Source organism: Homo sapiens, chromosome 14, assembly GCF_000001405.40.
Source record: "Homo sapiens chromosome 14, GRCh38.p14 Primary Assembly".
Taxonomy (NCBI): Eukaryota; Metazoa; Chordata; class Mammalia; order Primates; family Hominidae; genus Homo; species Homo sapiens.
The window spans coordinates 94,142,241-94,157,691 of record NC_000014.9 but is presented as its reverse complement, the minus strand read 5'-3'; the positions used below and the strand labels follow the sequence as shown (position 1 = coordinate 94,157,691).

Sequence of the window (15,451 nt, the reverse complement as noted above, 5' to 3'; positions counted from 1 at the left end):
CTATGCTACTCCAGGAAAATTGTTCTAACTCAAAGAGTATATTAATGACAAGTATAAGCAGATAAGATTAGTTCCTCTTAAAATTAGCTCTAGAACCATGAAACAGTTTCAGGAATACTACAGCCTTTCAAACTCTTTGTTAGGTAACTACATTGCAATAGAACCTGGAGAACTCAATGCATGCACAAAATGTCCATCCACATTCAACAGTGACTCCAGCTCTTTATAGCACATGAACCTGGACACAAACAAGACCTACTTAACACAGTTTCCAGTTTGTTGCTAAGTAACCACTACTGCCTGGTATGAGTGTGTGAGCACTCTGTTTCTTGTGTCAACTCATTATGCCAACATAATAGAGTGAACTTAACATTAGAGAATGGAATGTGAGATTTCATTTTTCATCACCCATACAGTTAGTCTATTATTGTCCAGCCAACTAAAAGTGTCTTCTAGAATAAGGTGAAAGAACAGAGAGGGCAAGGAAGAACTGAGAGCATATGGAGGAAGGAGGTAAATATGATTTTTCGTGTGACAATACACAGAAGCCCACCAATGACCACACTTAAACCAGGTGGCAGTCTATCATCTTTTGTCTTTTTCCTTGTCAAATACCGTGTTGTCACCTGGTCAAGTATGAGAACCTAAGACTTGGTGCCATAATGTACACTGACCAGTAGAGTGAGGGGCAATATTTACACAGTGGCCGTCACCATCATCCTAAGCCACTCCCCACTCCCAGCCCAAGGAGGACCAAGGCCATTGGGATTATGGTGGCATTCTCCTCCCTGAGGAGTGAGAGGGTAAGAAGTGATTGGCGTTTCCTCCTAGTAGTTCTGACCCACTGTCCATCTGGTCCAGACAGCTGGGCATCCATGCACCTGTTGGTGGCTGTAGTTTCCCAGAGTCCCACAACCACCCTGGAGTCCAGAAACACTCTAGGTGGCTTCCTTCTGAGCTGCTGGAGAATGTTTTGTGAATCACTTCTCTTAGGAAAGCAAATGGTCCCAAGGTAACTCCAAATTATTTTCCTCCAGCTTTATTGAGATATAACTGACAAATAAAAATTGTATGGACCATGTGATTTTTGATAAATATATATACATTGTGAAATGATTACACAATCAAGCTAATTAAGGTATCTATAAGATCTATTCCTATATGGTAGCAGCATGGAGAAGTGCAGAGCAAAGGGGAGTGGGGAAAAGCCCCTTATAAGATCTCATGAGAATGCACTATAATGAGAACAGCATGGAGGTAACCAGCCCCATGATTCAATTACCTTTCACCGGGCTCCTCACACAACATATGGGGATTATGAGAACTACAGGTTGAGATTTGGGTGGTGACACAGCCAAACCATTGTCATTCCACCCCAGCCCCTCCCAAATCTCATGTTCTCACATTTCTAAACACAATCATGCCTTCCCAACAGTCCCCCAGTCTTAACTCATTCCAGCATTAACTCAAAAGTCCAAGTCCAAAGTTTCATCTGAGACAAGGAAAGTCCCTTCCTCCTATGAGCCTGTAAAATCAAAAGCAAGTTAGTTACTTCCTAGATACAATGGGGGTAAAGGCATTAGGTAAATACAGCCATTCCAAATGGGAGAAATCGGCCAAAACAAAAGGACCACAGGCTCCACCCAGGTCTGTAATTTAATAGGACAGTCATTAAACCTTAAAGTTTGAAAATATTTCTTTTGACTCCATGTCTCACCTCCAGGTTACACTGATGCAATAGGTGGGCTTCCACAGCCTTAGGCAGCTCTGCCCCTGTGGCTTTGCAGGGTGCACCCCCCACTCCAAGCTGCTTTCACAGGTTGGCATTGAGTGCCTGTGGCTTTTCAAGGCACATGGTGCAAGCTGTCAGTGGATCTACCATTCTGGGGTCTGGAGTACAGTGGCCCTCTTCTCACAGCTCCACTAGGCAGTGTCCCAGTGGGGACTTTCTGTGGGGCCTCCAATCTCATATTTCCCTTCCACACTGCCCTAGCAGAGGTTCTCCATGAGGGCTCTGTCCCTGCAGCAAACTTCTGCCTGGACATTCAGGCATTTCCATACATCCTCGGAAATCTAGGCAGAGGTTCCCAAACCTCAATTCTTGTCTTCTGTGCCCCCCAGAACCAACACCATGTGAAGGCTGCCTAGGCTTAAGGCTTGCACCCTCTGAAGCAATGGCTGGAGCTGTACCTTGGCCGCTTTTAGCCATGGCTGGAGCCGAAGCAGCTGTGATGCAGGGCACCATGTCCTGAGGCTGCACAGAGAAGCGGGGCCCTGGGCCTGGTCCATGAAAGCACCTTTCCCTTCTAGGCCTCCAGACTTGTGATGAGATGGGCTTCCATGAAGGTCTCTGACATGCCCTGGAGACATTTTCCCCATTGTCTTGGTGATTAACGTTGGATTCCTCATTACTTTTGCAAATTTCTGTAGCAGGCTTGAATTTCTCCCCAGAAAATGGGTTTTTCTTTTCTACCACATTGTCAGGCTGCAAATTTTCCAAACTTTTATGCTCTGCTTCTTCTTGAATGCTTTGCCATGTAGAAATTTCTTGCACCAGATAGTCTAAATCATCTCTGTCAAGTTCAAAGTTCCACAAATCTCTGGGGTAGGGGCAAAATGCCACCAGTCTTTTTGCATAGCAAGAGTGACCTTTATTCCAGTTCCAACAAGTTCCCTATCTCCATCTGAGACCACCTCAGCCTGGACATTATTGTCCATATCACTATCAACATTTTGGTCGAAGCCATTCAACAAGTCTCTAGGAAGTTCCAAACTCTCCCACATTTTCCTATCTTATTCTGAGCCCTCCAGACTGTTCCAACCTCTGCGTGTTGTGCAGTTCCAAAGTCGCTCCCACATTTTCAAGTACCTTTATAGTAGGACCCCACTCCTGGTACAAATTGACTGTATTAGTCTATTCTCATGCTGCTGTAAGGACATGCCCAAGACTGGGTAATTTATAAAAGAGAGAGGTTTAATTGACTCACAGTCCTGCAGGCTGGGGAGGCCTCAGGAAACTTACAATCATGGCAAAAGAGGAAGCAAATACATCTTTCTTCACATGGCAGCAGCAAGGATAACTGCAGAGTGAAGGTGGGGAAAAGCCCCTTATAAAACCATCAGATCTCATGAGAACTCACTCACTATCAAGAGAAAAGCATGGAGGTAACCACCCTGATGATTCAATTACCTCCCACTGGGTCCCTCCCATGACATGTGGGGATTATGGGAACAACAATTCAATATGAGATTTGGGTGGGAACACAGCCAAACCATATCAACTCCCTTAGCAAATTTCAGGTATACATGAACTATAGTCACTGTGCTGTATATTAAGTCTCCAGAACTTACTCATCTTGGAACTAACTACAAGTTTGTACGCTTTGACTAACATTTCCCTATTTCTCCAACCCCTTGACCCCTGGTAACCATTCTTCTACTCTCCATTTGTATGAGTTTGGCTTTTTTCAAGTGCACCTCAAAATTTTTCATTCGCCCTCTCACCTAGATTTAAATTCACTTCCCCTATTTCACCGGACAGTCAATTGTGTAAAACATAGGTCCCAGCAGTGATGCAATAGAAGGAGCATAGGAAGACAGAAGTCAGCAAATGACCATCCAGTGCAGCAAGCAGCGTGCTCAGTATCAACAGGTGAGCCTGTGGGGTCCCAGTGAGGCACCTGAATGGGATAGAAGGGTCCTAGAAGAGGTGACATCTGAGGAGCTGTAGCTGTGGCTTCCCCACTTGAGAGCAGGGACTTGGGCCCAGCCAGCTTTGCATCTTCCCGTACCTGGTACAGAGCCTTTCGCAGGGTGGACATGGAGGAACCACTGGTTTGCACTGTCACCTATTCTGCCATCCCAGATGACCACTTAGCACCTGAGCAGCTGGATTCACCTTTCTCCCACTCCCTTATTCATTGAGCCCTGGGGGTAAGTTCACTTACGTGTGTTTAAGGTTTTTTCTTTTCTTTTTTTTTTTTTGAGACAGAGTCTCACTCTGTCACGCAGGCTGGAGGGCAGTAGTGCCATCTAAGCTCACTGCAACCTCCACTTCCTGAATTCAAGCAATTCTCCTGTCTCAGCCCCCTGAGTAGCTGGGACTATAGGTGTGCACAACCATGCCCAGCTAATTTTTGTATTTTTAGTAGAGATGGGGTTTCGTGATGTTGGCCAGGTTGGTCTCCAACTCCTCACCTCAAGTGATCCACCCGCCTTGGCCTCTTAAAGTGCTGGGATTACTGGCGTGAGCCACTGCACCAGTCAAAGTTTGATTTGCCAATTTTATAAAAAAACAAGTGAAACCCGGCTTCCACGCTCTCGGCTTGTCTCTGAAGAGGAGTTCATCTACTACAGGTCTACATGGAACCCGGCACCCAGGCCAATTCTAGACATTCATGCCCTGAGGCTCCTCAGACCTTTCTAGCACCTGCTGAGGGATTCAGGAGCAGATGGCAGAGCTCTGTTAGAGGGACCCACCATCAACACTGACAAAATAGCATAGCACCTTACACAAGCTTTGTGGTGGACACACAAACACTCATAGGTTTTATTTGTGGGCAGTAGTTTTCCAGAAAAGTAATACAGTGTCAGTTAAACTCACTAAGCCAGAAAAGGGAAAAAAAAAAAATCTACCTTTTGTGTTAGCTACATTTTGAATGACAGCCTTTTGTTTTAATACCTAGTGCCAAAGGAGAGACTTGGACAATGACTGTGTTGGAGAGCCCCTTGTTATGAAGACCTAATCTATATAGCTGTGTCATGTACATTGTTCAAGTCCTGTCCGTGGCACTGAACTGTGTACCTTGCATTTTAATCTTCCTTAGTCACCACATTCATCATCTCACTTTCCTGCTCAAGAACTTGAGCTGATGCCTAAGTCCTACTGAAGCCAGTCCAAAGTCTTGCCCCCAGAGGTTTTATTGCAAAGTCCCTCCCCAAAGTAGCCCACCTGCTCTAACCAGGATAGTTTCCTCTGCCTTGTGCTATAAACTATGTTCACTCCTGCCTGCATACATTTGCTGAAACTATTCCCCCACTGCCCATGCTCTTTTCTCACTAGCCACTAACAGGAATTAACCTTGTCCTTCAAAGTACAATGTGCACCTGCTTTCCTCCTAGAACTATCTTGGATAATCCTACCCCTCCTCTCCTCCGCCATCCTGGGTCCCCCATTGTATAAGTCTGTTTTCATACTGCTATAAAGAACTGCTGAGACTGGGTAATTTATAAAGAAAAGAGGTTTAATTGACTCACAGTTCTGCATGGCTGAGGAGGCCTCAGGAAACTTACAATCATGGCAGAAGGCAAAGGGAAAGCAAAGACCTTCTTCACATGGCAGTAGGAGAGAGTTAGCAAGAGCAGGAGAGAGTTAGCAAAAGCAGGGAAAACTGCCTTATAAAACCATCAGAGGCCAGGTACAGTAGCTCACCCCTGTAATCCCAGCACATTGGGAAGCCAAGGTGGGTGGATCACCTGAGGTCAGGAGTTCAAGACCAGCCTGGCCAACATGACAAAGCCCCATCTCTACTAAAAATACAAAAGTTAGCCAGGTGTGGTGGCAGGCACCTGTAATCCTGGCTACTCAGGAACCTGAGGCCAGAGAATCACTTGAACCTGGGAGGAACAGGTTGCAGTGAGCTGAGATCATGCCACTGCACACCAGCCTGGGTGACACAGTGAGACTCTGTCTCAAAAAAAAAAAAAGGAATGGGAACTGCTCTGGTCTGCAGCTCCCAGTGAGATCGATGCAAAAGGCAGGTGATTTCTGCATTTCCAACTGAGGTACCTGGCTCATCTTATTGGGACTGGTTAGACAGTGGATGCAGCCCACGGAGGGTGAGCTGAAGCAGGTTGGGGCATTGCTTCACCCGGGAAGCACAAGGAGTCAGGGAACTCCCTCCCCTAGCCAAGGGAAGCTCTGAGGGACTGTGCCTTGAGGAATGGTGCACTCCAGCCCAGATACTATGCTTTTCCCACGGTCTTTGCAACCCACAGACCAGGAGATTCCCTCGGGTGCCCACACCACCAGGGCCCTGGGTTTCAAGCACAAAAGTGGGCAGCCATTTGGGCAGACACCGATCTAGCTGCAGGAGTTTTTTTTCATACCACAGTGGTGCCTGGAATGCCAGCGAGACAGAACCGTTCACTCCCCTGAAAAGGAGGCTGAAGCCAGGGAACCAAGTGGTCTAGCTCAGCAGAACCCACCCTGAGGGAGCTGAATCAATCAAGCGGAAGAAAGGATATCAGGGATTGAAGATCAACTTAATGAAATAAAGAGTGAACAGTAGGTTAGAGAAAAAAGAATGAAAAGGAACAAACAAAGCCTCCAAGAAATATGGGACTATGCGAAAAGACCAAACCTATGTTTGTTTGGTGTACCTGAAAGTGATGGGGAGAATGGAACCAAGCTGGAAAACACTCTTCAGAATATTACCCAGGAGAACTTCCAAAACCTAGCAAGTCAGGCCAACATTCAAATTCAGGAAATATAGAGAACACCACAAAGATATTCTTTGAGAAGAGCAACCCCAAGACACATAATCATCAGATTCACCAAGGTTGAAATGAAGGAAAAACTGTTAAAGGCAGTCAGAGAGAAAGGGAAGCAGTCAGAGACAAAGAAAGGGCAGTCAGAGACAAAGGGAAGCCCATCAGACTAACAGCAGATCTCTTGGCAGAAACCCTACATGCAAGAAGAGAGTGGGGGCCAATATTCAACATTCTTAAAGAAAAGAATTTTCAACCCAGAATTTCATATCCAGACAAAATAACCTTCATAAGCGAAGAAGAAATAAAATCCTTTACAGACAAGCAAATGCTGAGATTTTGTCACCATCAGGCCTGCCTTACGAGAGCTCCTGAAAGAAGCACTAAATATGGAAAGGAAAAACCGGTACCAGCCCCTGCAAAAACACAGCAAATTGTAAAGACCATTGACACTATGAAGAAACTGCATCAACTAACAGGCAAATTAACCAGCTAGCATCATAATGGCAGGATCAAATTCACACATAACCATATTAACCTTAAATTTAAATGGGCTAAATGCCCCAATTAAAAGACACAGACTGGCAAATTGGATAAAGAGTCAAGACCCATTGGTGTGCTGTATTCAGGAGACCCATCTCACGTGCAAAGACACACATAGGCTCAAAATAAAGGGATGGAGGAATCTTTACCAAGCAAATGGAAAGCAAAAAAAAAAAAAGCAGGGGTTGCAATCCTAGTCTCTGATAAAACAGACTTTAAACCAGCAAAGATCAAAAAAGAAAAGAAGGGCATTACATGATGGTAAAGGGATGAATGCAACAAGAAGTGCTAACTATCCTAAATATATATATGCACCCAAAACAGGAGCACCCAGATTCATAAAGCAAGTTCTTTGAGACCTACAAAGAGACTTAAGTTCCCACACAATAACAGTGGGAGACTTTAACACCCCCACTGTCAATATTAGAAGATCAACGGACAGAAAGTTAACAAGGATATTCAGGACTTGAACTCAGCTATGGGCCAAGCGGACCTAATAGGCATCTACAGAACTCTCTACCCCAAATCAACAGAATATACATTCTTCTCGGCACCACATCACACTTATTCTAAAATTGACCACATCATTGGAAGTAAAACACTCCTCAGCAAATGCAAAAGAATGGAAATTGTAACAAACAGTCTCTCAGACCACAGTGCAATCACATTAGAAGTCAGGATTAGGAAATGCACTCAAAACCTCACAACTACATGGAAACTGAACAACCTGCTCTTGAATGACTACTGGGTACATATTGAAATTAAGGCAGAAATAATTAAGTTCTTTGAAACCAATGAGAATAAAGACACAATGTACCAGAATCTCTGGGACACAGCTAAAGCAGTGTTTAGAAGGAAATTTATAGCACTAAATGCCCACAGAAGAAAGCAGAAAAGATCTAAAATCAAAACCCTAATATCGCAATTAAAAGAAGTAGAGAAGCAAGAGCAAACAAATCCAAAAGCTAGCGGAAGACAAAAAATAAGTGAGATTAGAGCAGAACTAAAGGAGATAGAGACACGAAAAACCCTTCAAAAAATCAATGAATCTGGAAGCTGGTTTTTTGAAAAGATTAACAAAATAGACTGCTAGCCAGAATAATAAAGAAGAAAAGAGAGAGAATCAAATAGACACAATAAAAAATGATAAAGTGGATATAACCATTGATCCCACAGAAATACAAACTACCATCACAGAATACTATAAACATCTCTACACAAATAAACTAGAAAATCTAGAAGAAATAGATAAATTCCTGGACACATACACCCTCCCAAGACTAAACCAGGAAGTAGTTGAATCCCTGAATAGACCAATAACAAGTTCTGAAATTGAGGCAGTAATTAATAGCCTACCAACCAAAAAAAAGCCCAGGACCAGACAGATTCACAGCCAAATTCTACCAGAGGTACAAAGAGGAGCTGATACCAATCCTTCTGAAACTATTCCAAACAATAAAAAAGAGGGACTCCTCCCTAACTCATTTTATGAGGCCAGCATCACCCTGATACCAAAACCTGGCAGAGACACAACGAAAAAAGAAAATTTCAGGCCGATATCTCTGATGAACATCAATGCGAAAATCCTCAATAAAATACTGGCAAACCAAATCCAGCAGCACATCAAAAAGCTTATCTACCAGGATCAAGTCCACTTCATCCCTGGGATGCAAGGCTGGTTCAACATACACAAAGCAATAAACATAATCCACCACATAAACAGAACCAATGACAAAACCACATGATTGTCTCAATAGATGCAGAAAAAAAAAAACTCTCAATAAACTAGGTATTGATGGAACATATCTCAAAAGAATAAGAGCTATTAATGACAAATCCACAGCCAGTATCATGCTGAATGGGCAAAAGCTGGAAGCATTCCCTTTGAAAACCAGCACAAGACAAGGATGCCCTCTCTCACCACACCTATTCAACATAGTATTGGAAGTTCTGGCCAGGGCAATCAGGAAAGAGAAAGAAATAAAGGTATTGAAATAGGAAGAGAGGAAGTCAAATTGTCTCTGTTTGCAGATGACATGATTGTATGTTTAGAAAACCCCATCATCTCAGCACAAAATCTCCTTAAGCTGATAAGCAACTTCAGCAAAGTCTCAGAAGACAAAATCATTGTGAAAAATCACAAGTACTCCTATACACCAATAATAGACAAACAGAGCGCCAAATCATGAGTGAACTCCCATTCACAATTGCTACAAACAGAATTAAATACCTAGGAACACACCTTACAAGGGATGTGAAAGACCTCTTCAAGGAGAACTAAAAACCACTGCTCAAGGAAATAAGAGAGGACACAAACAAATGGAAAAACATTCCATGCTCATGGATAGGAAGAATCAATATTGTGAAAATGGTCATATTGCCCAAAGTAATTTATAGATTCAATGTTATCCCCATCAAGCTACCATTGACTTTCTTCACAGAATTAGAAAAAAACTACTTTAAATTTCATATGGAACTAAAAAAGAGCCCGTATAGCCAAGACAATCCTAAGCAAAAAGAACAAAGCTGGAGGCATCATGCTACCTGAATTCAAACTATGCTACAAGGCTACAGTAACCAAATCAGCATGGTACTGGTACCAAAACAGATATATAGACCAATGGAACAGAACAGAGGCCTCAGAAATAACGTCACACATCTACAGCCATCTGATTTTTGACAATCCTGACAAAAACAATGGGGAAAGGATTCCCTATTTAATAAATAGTGTTGGGAAAACTGACTAGCCATATGCAGAAAACTGAAACTGGATCCCTTCCTTACACCTTATACAAATATTAACTCAAGATGGACTAAAGACTTAAACGTAAGACCTAAAACCATAAAAACCCTAGAAGAAAACCTAGGCAATACCATTCAGGACATAGGCATGGGCAAAGACTTCATATTAAAACACCAAAAGCAATGACCACAAAAGCCAAAATAGACAAATTGGATCTAATTAAACTAAAGAGCTTCTGTACAGCAAAAGAAACTATCATCAGAGTGAACAGGGCATCCTACAGAATAGGAGAAAATTTTTGCAATCTATCCATCTGACAAAGGGCTAATATCCAGAATCTACAAGGAACTTAAACAAATTTACAAGAAAAAAACAACCCCATCAAAAAGTGGGCAAAGGATATGAACAGACACTTCTCGAAAGAAGACATTTATGTGGCCAAAAAACCTATGAAGAAAAGATCATCATCACTGGTGGTTAGAGAAATGCAAATCAAAACCACAATGAGATACCACCTCATGCCAGTTAGAATGGCAATCATTAAAAAGTCAGGAAACAACAGATGCTGGAGAGGATGTGGAGAAATAGGAATGCTTTTACACTGTTGGTGGGAGTGTAAATTAGTTCAACCACTGTGGAAGATAGTGTGGCAATTCCTCAAGGATCTAGAACCAGAAATACCATTTGACCCAGCAATCTCATTACTGGGTATATACCCAAAGGATTATAAATCATTCTACTATAAAGACACATGCACACATATGTTCATTGCAGCACTAATCATAATAGCAAAGACTTGGAACCAACCCAAATGCCCATCAATGATAGACTGGATTAAGAAAATGTGGCACATATACAACATGGAATAGTATGCAACCATAAAAATGATAAGTTCACGTCCTTTGCAGGGACATGGATGAAGCTGGAAACCATCATTCTCAGCAAACTAATACAGGAACAGGAAACCAAACACCACATGTTCTCACTCATAAGTGGGAGTTGAACAATGAGAACACATGGACACAGGGAGGGGAACATCACACACCAGAGCCTGTTGCAGGGTGGGGGGCTAAGGGAGGGATAGCATTAGGAGAAATACCTAATGTAGATGGCAGGTTGATGGGTGCAGCAAACCACCATGGCACATGTATACCTATGTAACAAACCTGCACGTTCTGCACACGTATCCCAGAACTTAAAGCATAATTAAAAAAAAAAAAAACAAAACCACCAGCTCTCATGAGAACTCACTTGCTATCATGAGAACAGCATGGGGGAAACCACCTCCATGATCCAATCACCTCCCACCAGGTCCTTCCCTCAACACAGGGGGATTATGGGGATTACAACTCAAGATGAGATTTAGGTGGAGACAGCCAAACCATATCACCCATCTTTCTGCACGTGGTCTATTCTGGTCTTCTACACTTTTCTGTGTTTTATGTCTCCTTTTTAAATGTCCAGGGGAATATAGTATAATAGGAAGCTCACTGCGTTTGGAATTGAGTCCCAGCTTTGCCAACTATTAGCTGTGTGACCTTGGACAAGTTACTTAATCTCTCTGGGCCTCAGTTTCCTCATCTATAAAAAAGAGACAATAATGCCTACCTTGCAAAATTCCGGTGATTATTAGAGGTAATGGGCATAAATGCAGTGGCACCCAGGGAGCTTAATAGTGATGGCCACCCTTGATGTTAATGAGCAGTAAGTCCTCCTTCTGCTGGGCCGGACTTCCGTAAGGTCATAATTACAGACAGACAGCTGGCTGCAGCAGTTGCAGAATGGCACTGACTTCCTGTTTACCCCAATCCTGCCTGAACATGCAAACCCCTCCTACCTACCTCACACAGTTGCTCCCTTCTAGCACACACAAAATGGTACTCGCCATTGTTGGTTCATGAGATGAATGGTCATTTTAATCCAGGGATATTGTTTGCTGGGCCTTTCAAGTGTTTACTCTTCAAGCCACTCCCTCCATGGGGCCCAGCTCAAAACCACCTCCCCTCAGGAAGCCCTTCCTCATCTTTTCAGTCAGAAGTTCTCTGGGCCAGGCGTGGCGGATCACACCTGTAATGTCAGCACTTGGGGAGGATCACTTGAGCCCAGGAGTTCAAGACCAGCCTGGGCAACATGATGAGACCCTGTCTTTAAATATGTATGTTTACATATTTATTTTAAACATATATATTTAAAGACAGGGTCTCACTATGTTTTTAAATATATATATTTATATATTTTATTATATATTAAAATATATATATTATATATTAAATATGTATATTATATATTATATATATTATCATATAAAATATATAAATATATATGTATTATATATTAAAATATATATATTTAGATATATATATCTAAATATATATTTAGATATGTATATCTAAATATATATTTAGATATATATATCTAAATATATATATTTAGATATATATATCTAAATATATATATTTAAAGACAGGGTCTCACTATGTTTTTAAGATTATATATAAATTATATATACATATATATAGAGAGAGAGAGAGAGAGAGACAGAGAAAGGGAAAATAACCAGGCATGGTGGTATGCACCTGTAGTCCCAGCGACTCAGGAGACTGAGGTGAGAGGATCACTTGAGCCCAGGAGATTGAGGCTGTAGTGAACTGTGATTGTACCACCGCACTTTAGCCTGGGTGACAGTGAGACCCTAGCTCATAAAAAAAAGGTTCCCTGGAATGCCTCCCTGGAATGCCTCACTCTATGTGTCCTTTGCTTGTGGCCCTGAGAGAATTAGATGAGTTATCCTATGAAAGGGCCTTAGAATAATTCCTGTCACAGAGCCAGCCCTGTGAACATGTTGGCCATTATTAACCCCTATCCTTGTCCTCCCTCGCCCACTGTGTTGGATGCCTCCACAGGTCCCTCCCAACCCCACTCTGTGCCATCTCTGTCCACAGGGGTTGTCTTCCAGGGATTGCATCAGGAGGCCACCTGACCTCTGACTTCCTGTTGGCTTCAGCTAAGAAGGAAGGAGGAACACTGAGAGGGGACAGGAGGAGGCAGGAGCATGCTGTCAGGGTATTGTGTTTTTCCAGTGCCTTCTCTGTGGGCTGCTGAGGGCCTGAAGCCCCTCCTCACAGCTCTCTCCCTCTCCAAATCCTTATGTGACCAGCCCCACCCCCTCACTCCCCCAGGCTCCCCGAGGTTGCCAGCCCCAAAGTATTCACTGCTTTTTTGGCTCCCCCACACCTGTCCTTGCCTGTGTAAATGTTCCCTTCATTAAATTCTCCTGAAATGTCCCAGATTGACTCTGCCATCTGTTTCTTGCCAAGACCCTAATTGAGACACCTACTTTCTGAATATTAAACCTAACCATGTTTCGGGCTTTTTTTGTCAAATGTCATAGGTTGTTCAGGTTCCTTGAGGCTCCTCTGGATATATTTTTTATAAGACTATTTTAAATATATATATATATATATATATATATATATATATATATATATATATATATATATTTTTTTTTTTTTTTTTTTTTTTTTTTTTTTTTTGAGACAGAGTCTCTGTCTATCGCCCAGGCTGGAGTGCAGTGGCACAGTCTGGGCTCACTACAACCTCCGCCTCCCGGGTTCAAGCGATTCTCCTGCCTCAACCTTCTGAGTAGCTGGGATTACAGGTGACTGCCACCATGCCCGGCTAATTTTTGTATTTTTGGTAGAGACAGGGTTTCACCATGTTGGTCATGCTGGTCTCGAACTTCTGACCTCGTGATCCACCCACCTCGGCCTCCCAAAGTGCTGGGATTACAGGCGTGAGCCACTGCACCCGGCCATAAATATGTATTTTTAAGATTATTATTAAGTGTCAATTTTACCGAGATTTGGAGTGTTCTTCAAGGGTGAGAAATTAGCCCTATTGCCATGTAGTGCCCTAAAGCCCTGGGCCCTGGATGAGGGGTAGCTGGGAAGATGCCGTGGAGGCCACACTATGAAGGCAACAGACTTCACAGAAGAAGCATATGCCCCTGTGGCTGAGCCTTCAGGGAGGGGCATCTTCAGTCCCTCCTCAGAGCCACAGTGCTCCTCAGAGAATGAAGGATCCACCCTTGTTAGTGACACTGAGCAACAGAGTGCATGAGACCAGTTGGTCCCCATGTTGTCCTGGACAGAGTGGGGTGCGTTGGAGAAAGTCCTATGATGACTGACAGCCAGTCCCAAACCTTGACAATGGCAGCTCTAAGCCATATCTAATTTGATTTTAAAAATAAAGAAATGAGACATTTATTTAACTTCATTGTTGTGGTGCAGACTGGTAGTTGTTGCCCCTTCCTATTTTAAGGAGGAGGCTAGAGACAATGGCTGTCCAGAATAAAGACCCAATTTCCCCGCATCCTTTGTAGTTAGATGTGAGCAGAATTTCCAGGGCCTACCCTCTTCTTCCTGTCGCCAGTGGAATGCAGGCATAAGTGCAGAGCCAACTCAAACCTGCAGGTGGAGGCAATACGCTGGGGATAGAAGGTGTATGTGTCCCCCAAAATGGCACAGAGAAGAGCCAAGTAAGAATAGACTACTATGTTTTTTTAAGGTACTGTTATTTAGGGTCCCCTGATAGAGATAGCTATGAGGCAAATATTACATGTGAAAAATATGAAGTATTTTTATCTATGTAGAAAGTCAAAAAAACAAAAAACCAACCAACACTCCCCAAACTAATAAATAAGTTTTACAAGGTCATAGCATACAAGGTCAATACATAAAAATACATTGTATTTCTATACATTAGCAATATACAGATGGAAACAAAAACTTAAAATAATAGTAGTCACAATAGCTTCAAAAACTGAAATACTTAGGTATAAATCTAAAAAAAAAAGTAACAGATCTCTAAGCTGAAAACCACAAAATGCTGATTAAGGAAATCGAAGATTTAAATAAGTACAGGGACATACCATTTTCATAGATTAGAAGACTCAACAGAGTAAAGACTCCAATACTCTCTAAATAAATTCATAGATTTAATATAGTACCAATCAAAGTCCTAGCAGGATTCTTTCTGAGATATAGACAAACTATTTATAAAGTGTGTATGGAAGGGCAAAGGAATGAGAAGAGCTAATAAAATTTTAAAAAAATAGAGTTGTAGGAATCAAACACTGTAATTTTAAGACTTACTGTAAAGCTATAGTAATGAAGTCAGTGTGGCATTAGCAAAGAGATAGACACACAGATCTATGGAAAAGAATGGAGATACAGAAATAGACCCACACAGATAAGGCTTATTAGTTTTTTACAAAGTTGCAAAAGCAATTAAATGGAAAAAACATAGTCTTTACACCCAATTGTGTACATGCAGCAGATCCTCAAATGGACTTCCAGCTGGGGCCACTGTAGAGTTTGCACATTCTCCTCATGTCTGCCTGGGTTTTCTCCAGGTACTCCAGTTTCCTCCCACATCCCAAAGATGTGCACACTGGGTGAACTGGTGTGTCTATAATGTCCCCACGCCAGTGTGTGTGTGTGTGTGTGTGTGTCTGTGTGTGAGTGCACCCCACGACAGAATGGCATCCTGTCCAAGGTGGGTCCCTGCTTAGCATCCTGAGCTGCTGGGATAGGCTCCAGCCAACCACTGCCCTGCATTAAAATAATTCTGCTTATTTTTATTAATCTTTCTTAACTGTACACGTAACTCACATTT

The 15,451-nt window shown here is 42.5% G+C and overlaps 1 long non-coding RNA gene across 3 annotated transcripts; it reads left to right on the top strand.

Moving 5' to 3' along the window:
* Window positions 1–398: 398 nt before the first annotated feature.
* Window positions 399–13,059, top strand: LOC105370634 (uncharacterized). 3 transcript variants are annotated; one of them, XR_944168.3, is made up of 4 exons: window positions 399–513; window positions 3,561–3,652; window positions 3,801–3,933; window positions 12,718–13,059. It is a non-coding gene; the product is annotated as an uncharacterized LOC105370634 (long non-coding RNA). The 3 variants fall into 3 exon arrangements; XR_944166.3 differs by having other exon boundaries at window positions 3,509–3,652; XR_944167.3 differs by lacking the exon at window positions 3,801–3,933 and having other exon boundaries at window positions 3,509–3,652.
* Window positions 13,060–15,451: the final 2,392 nt, after the last annotated feature.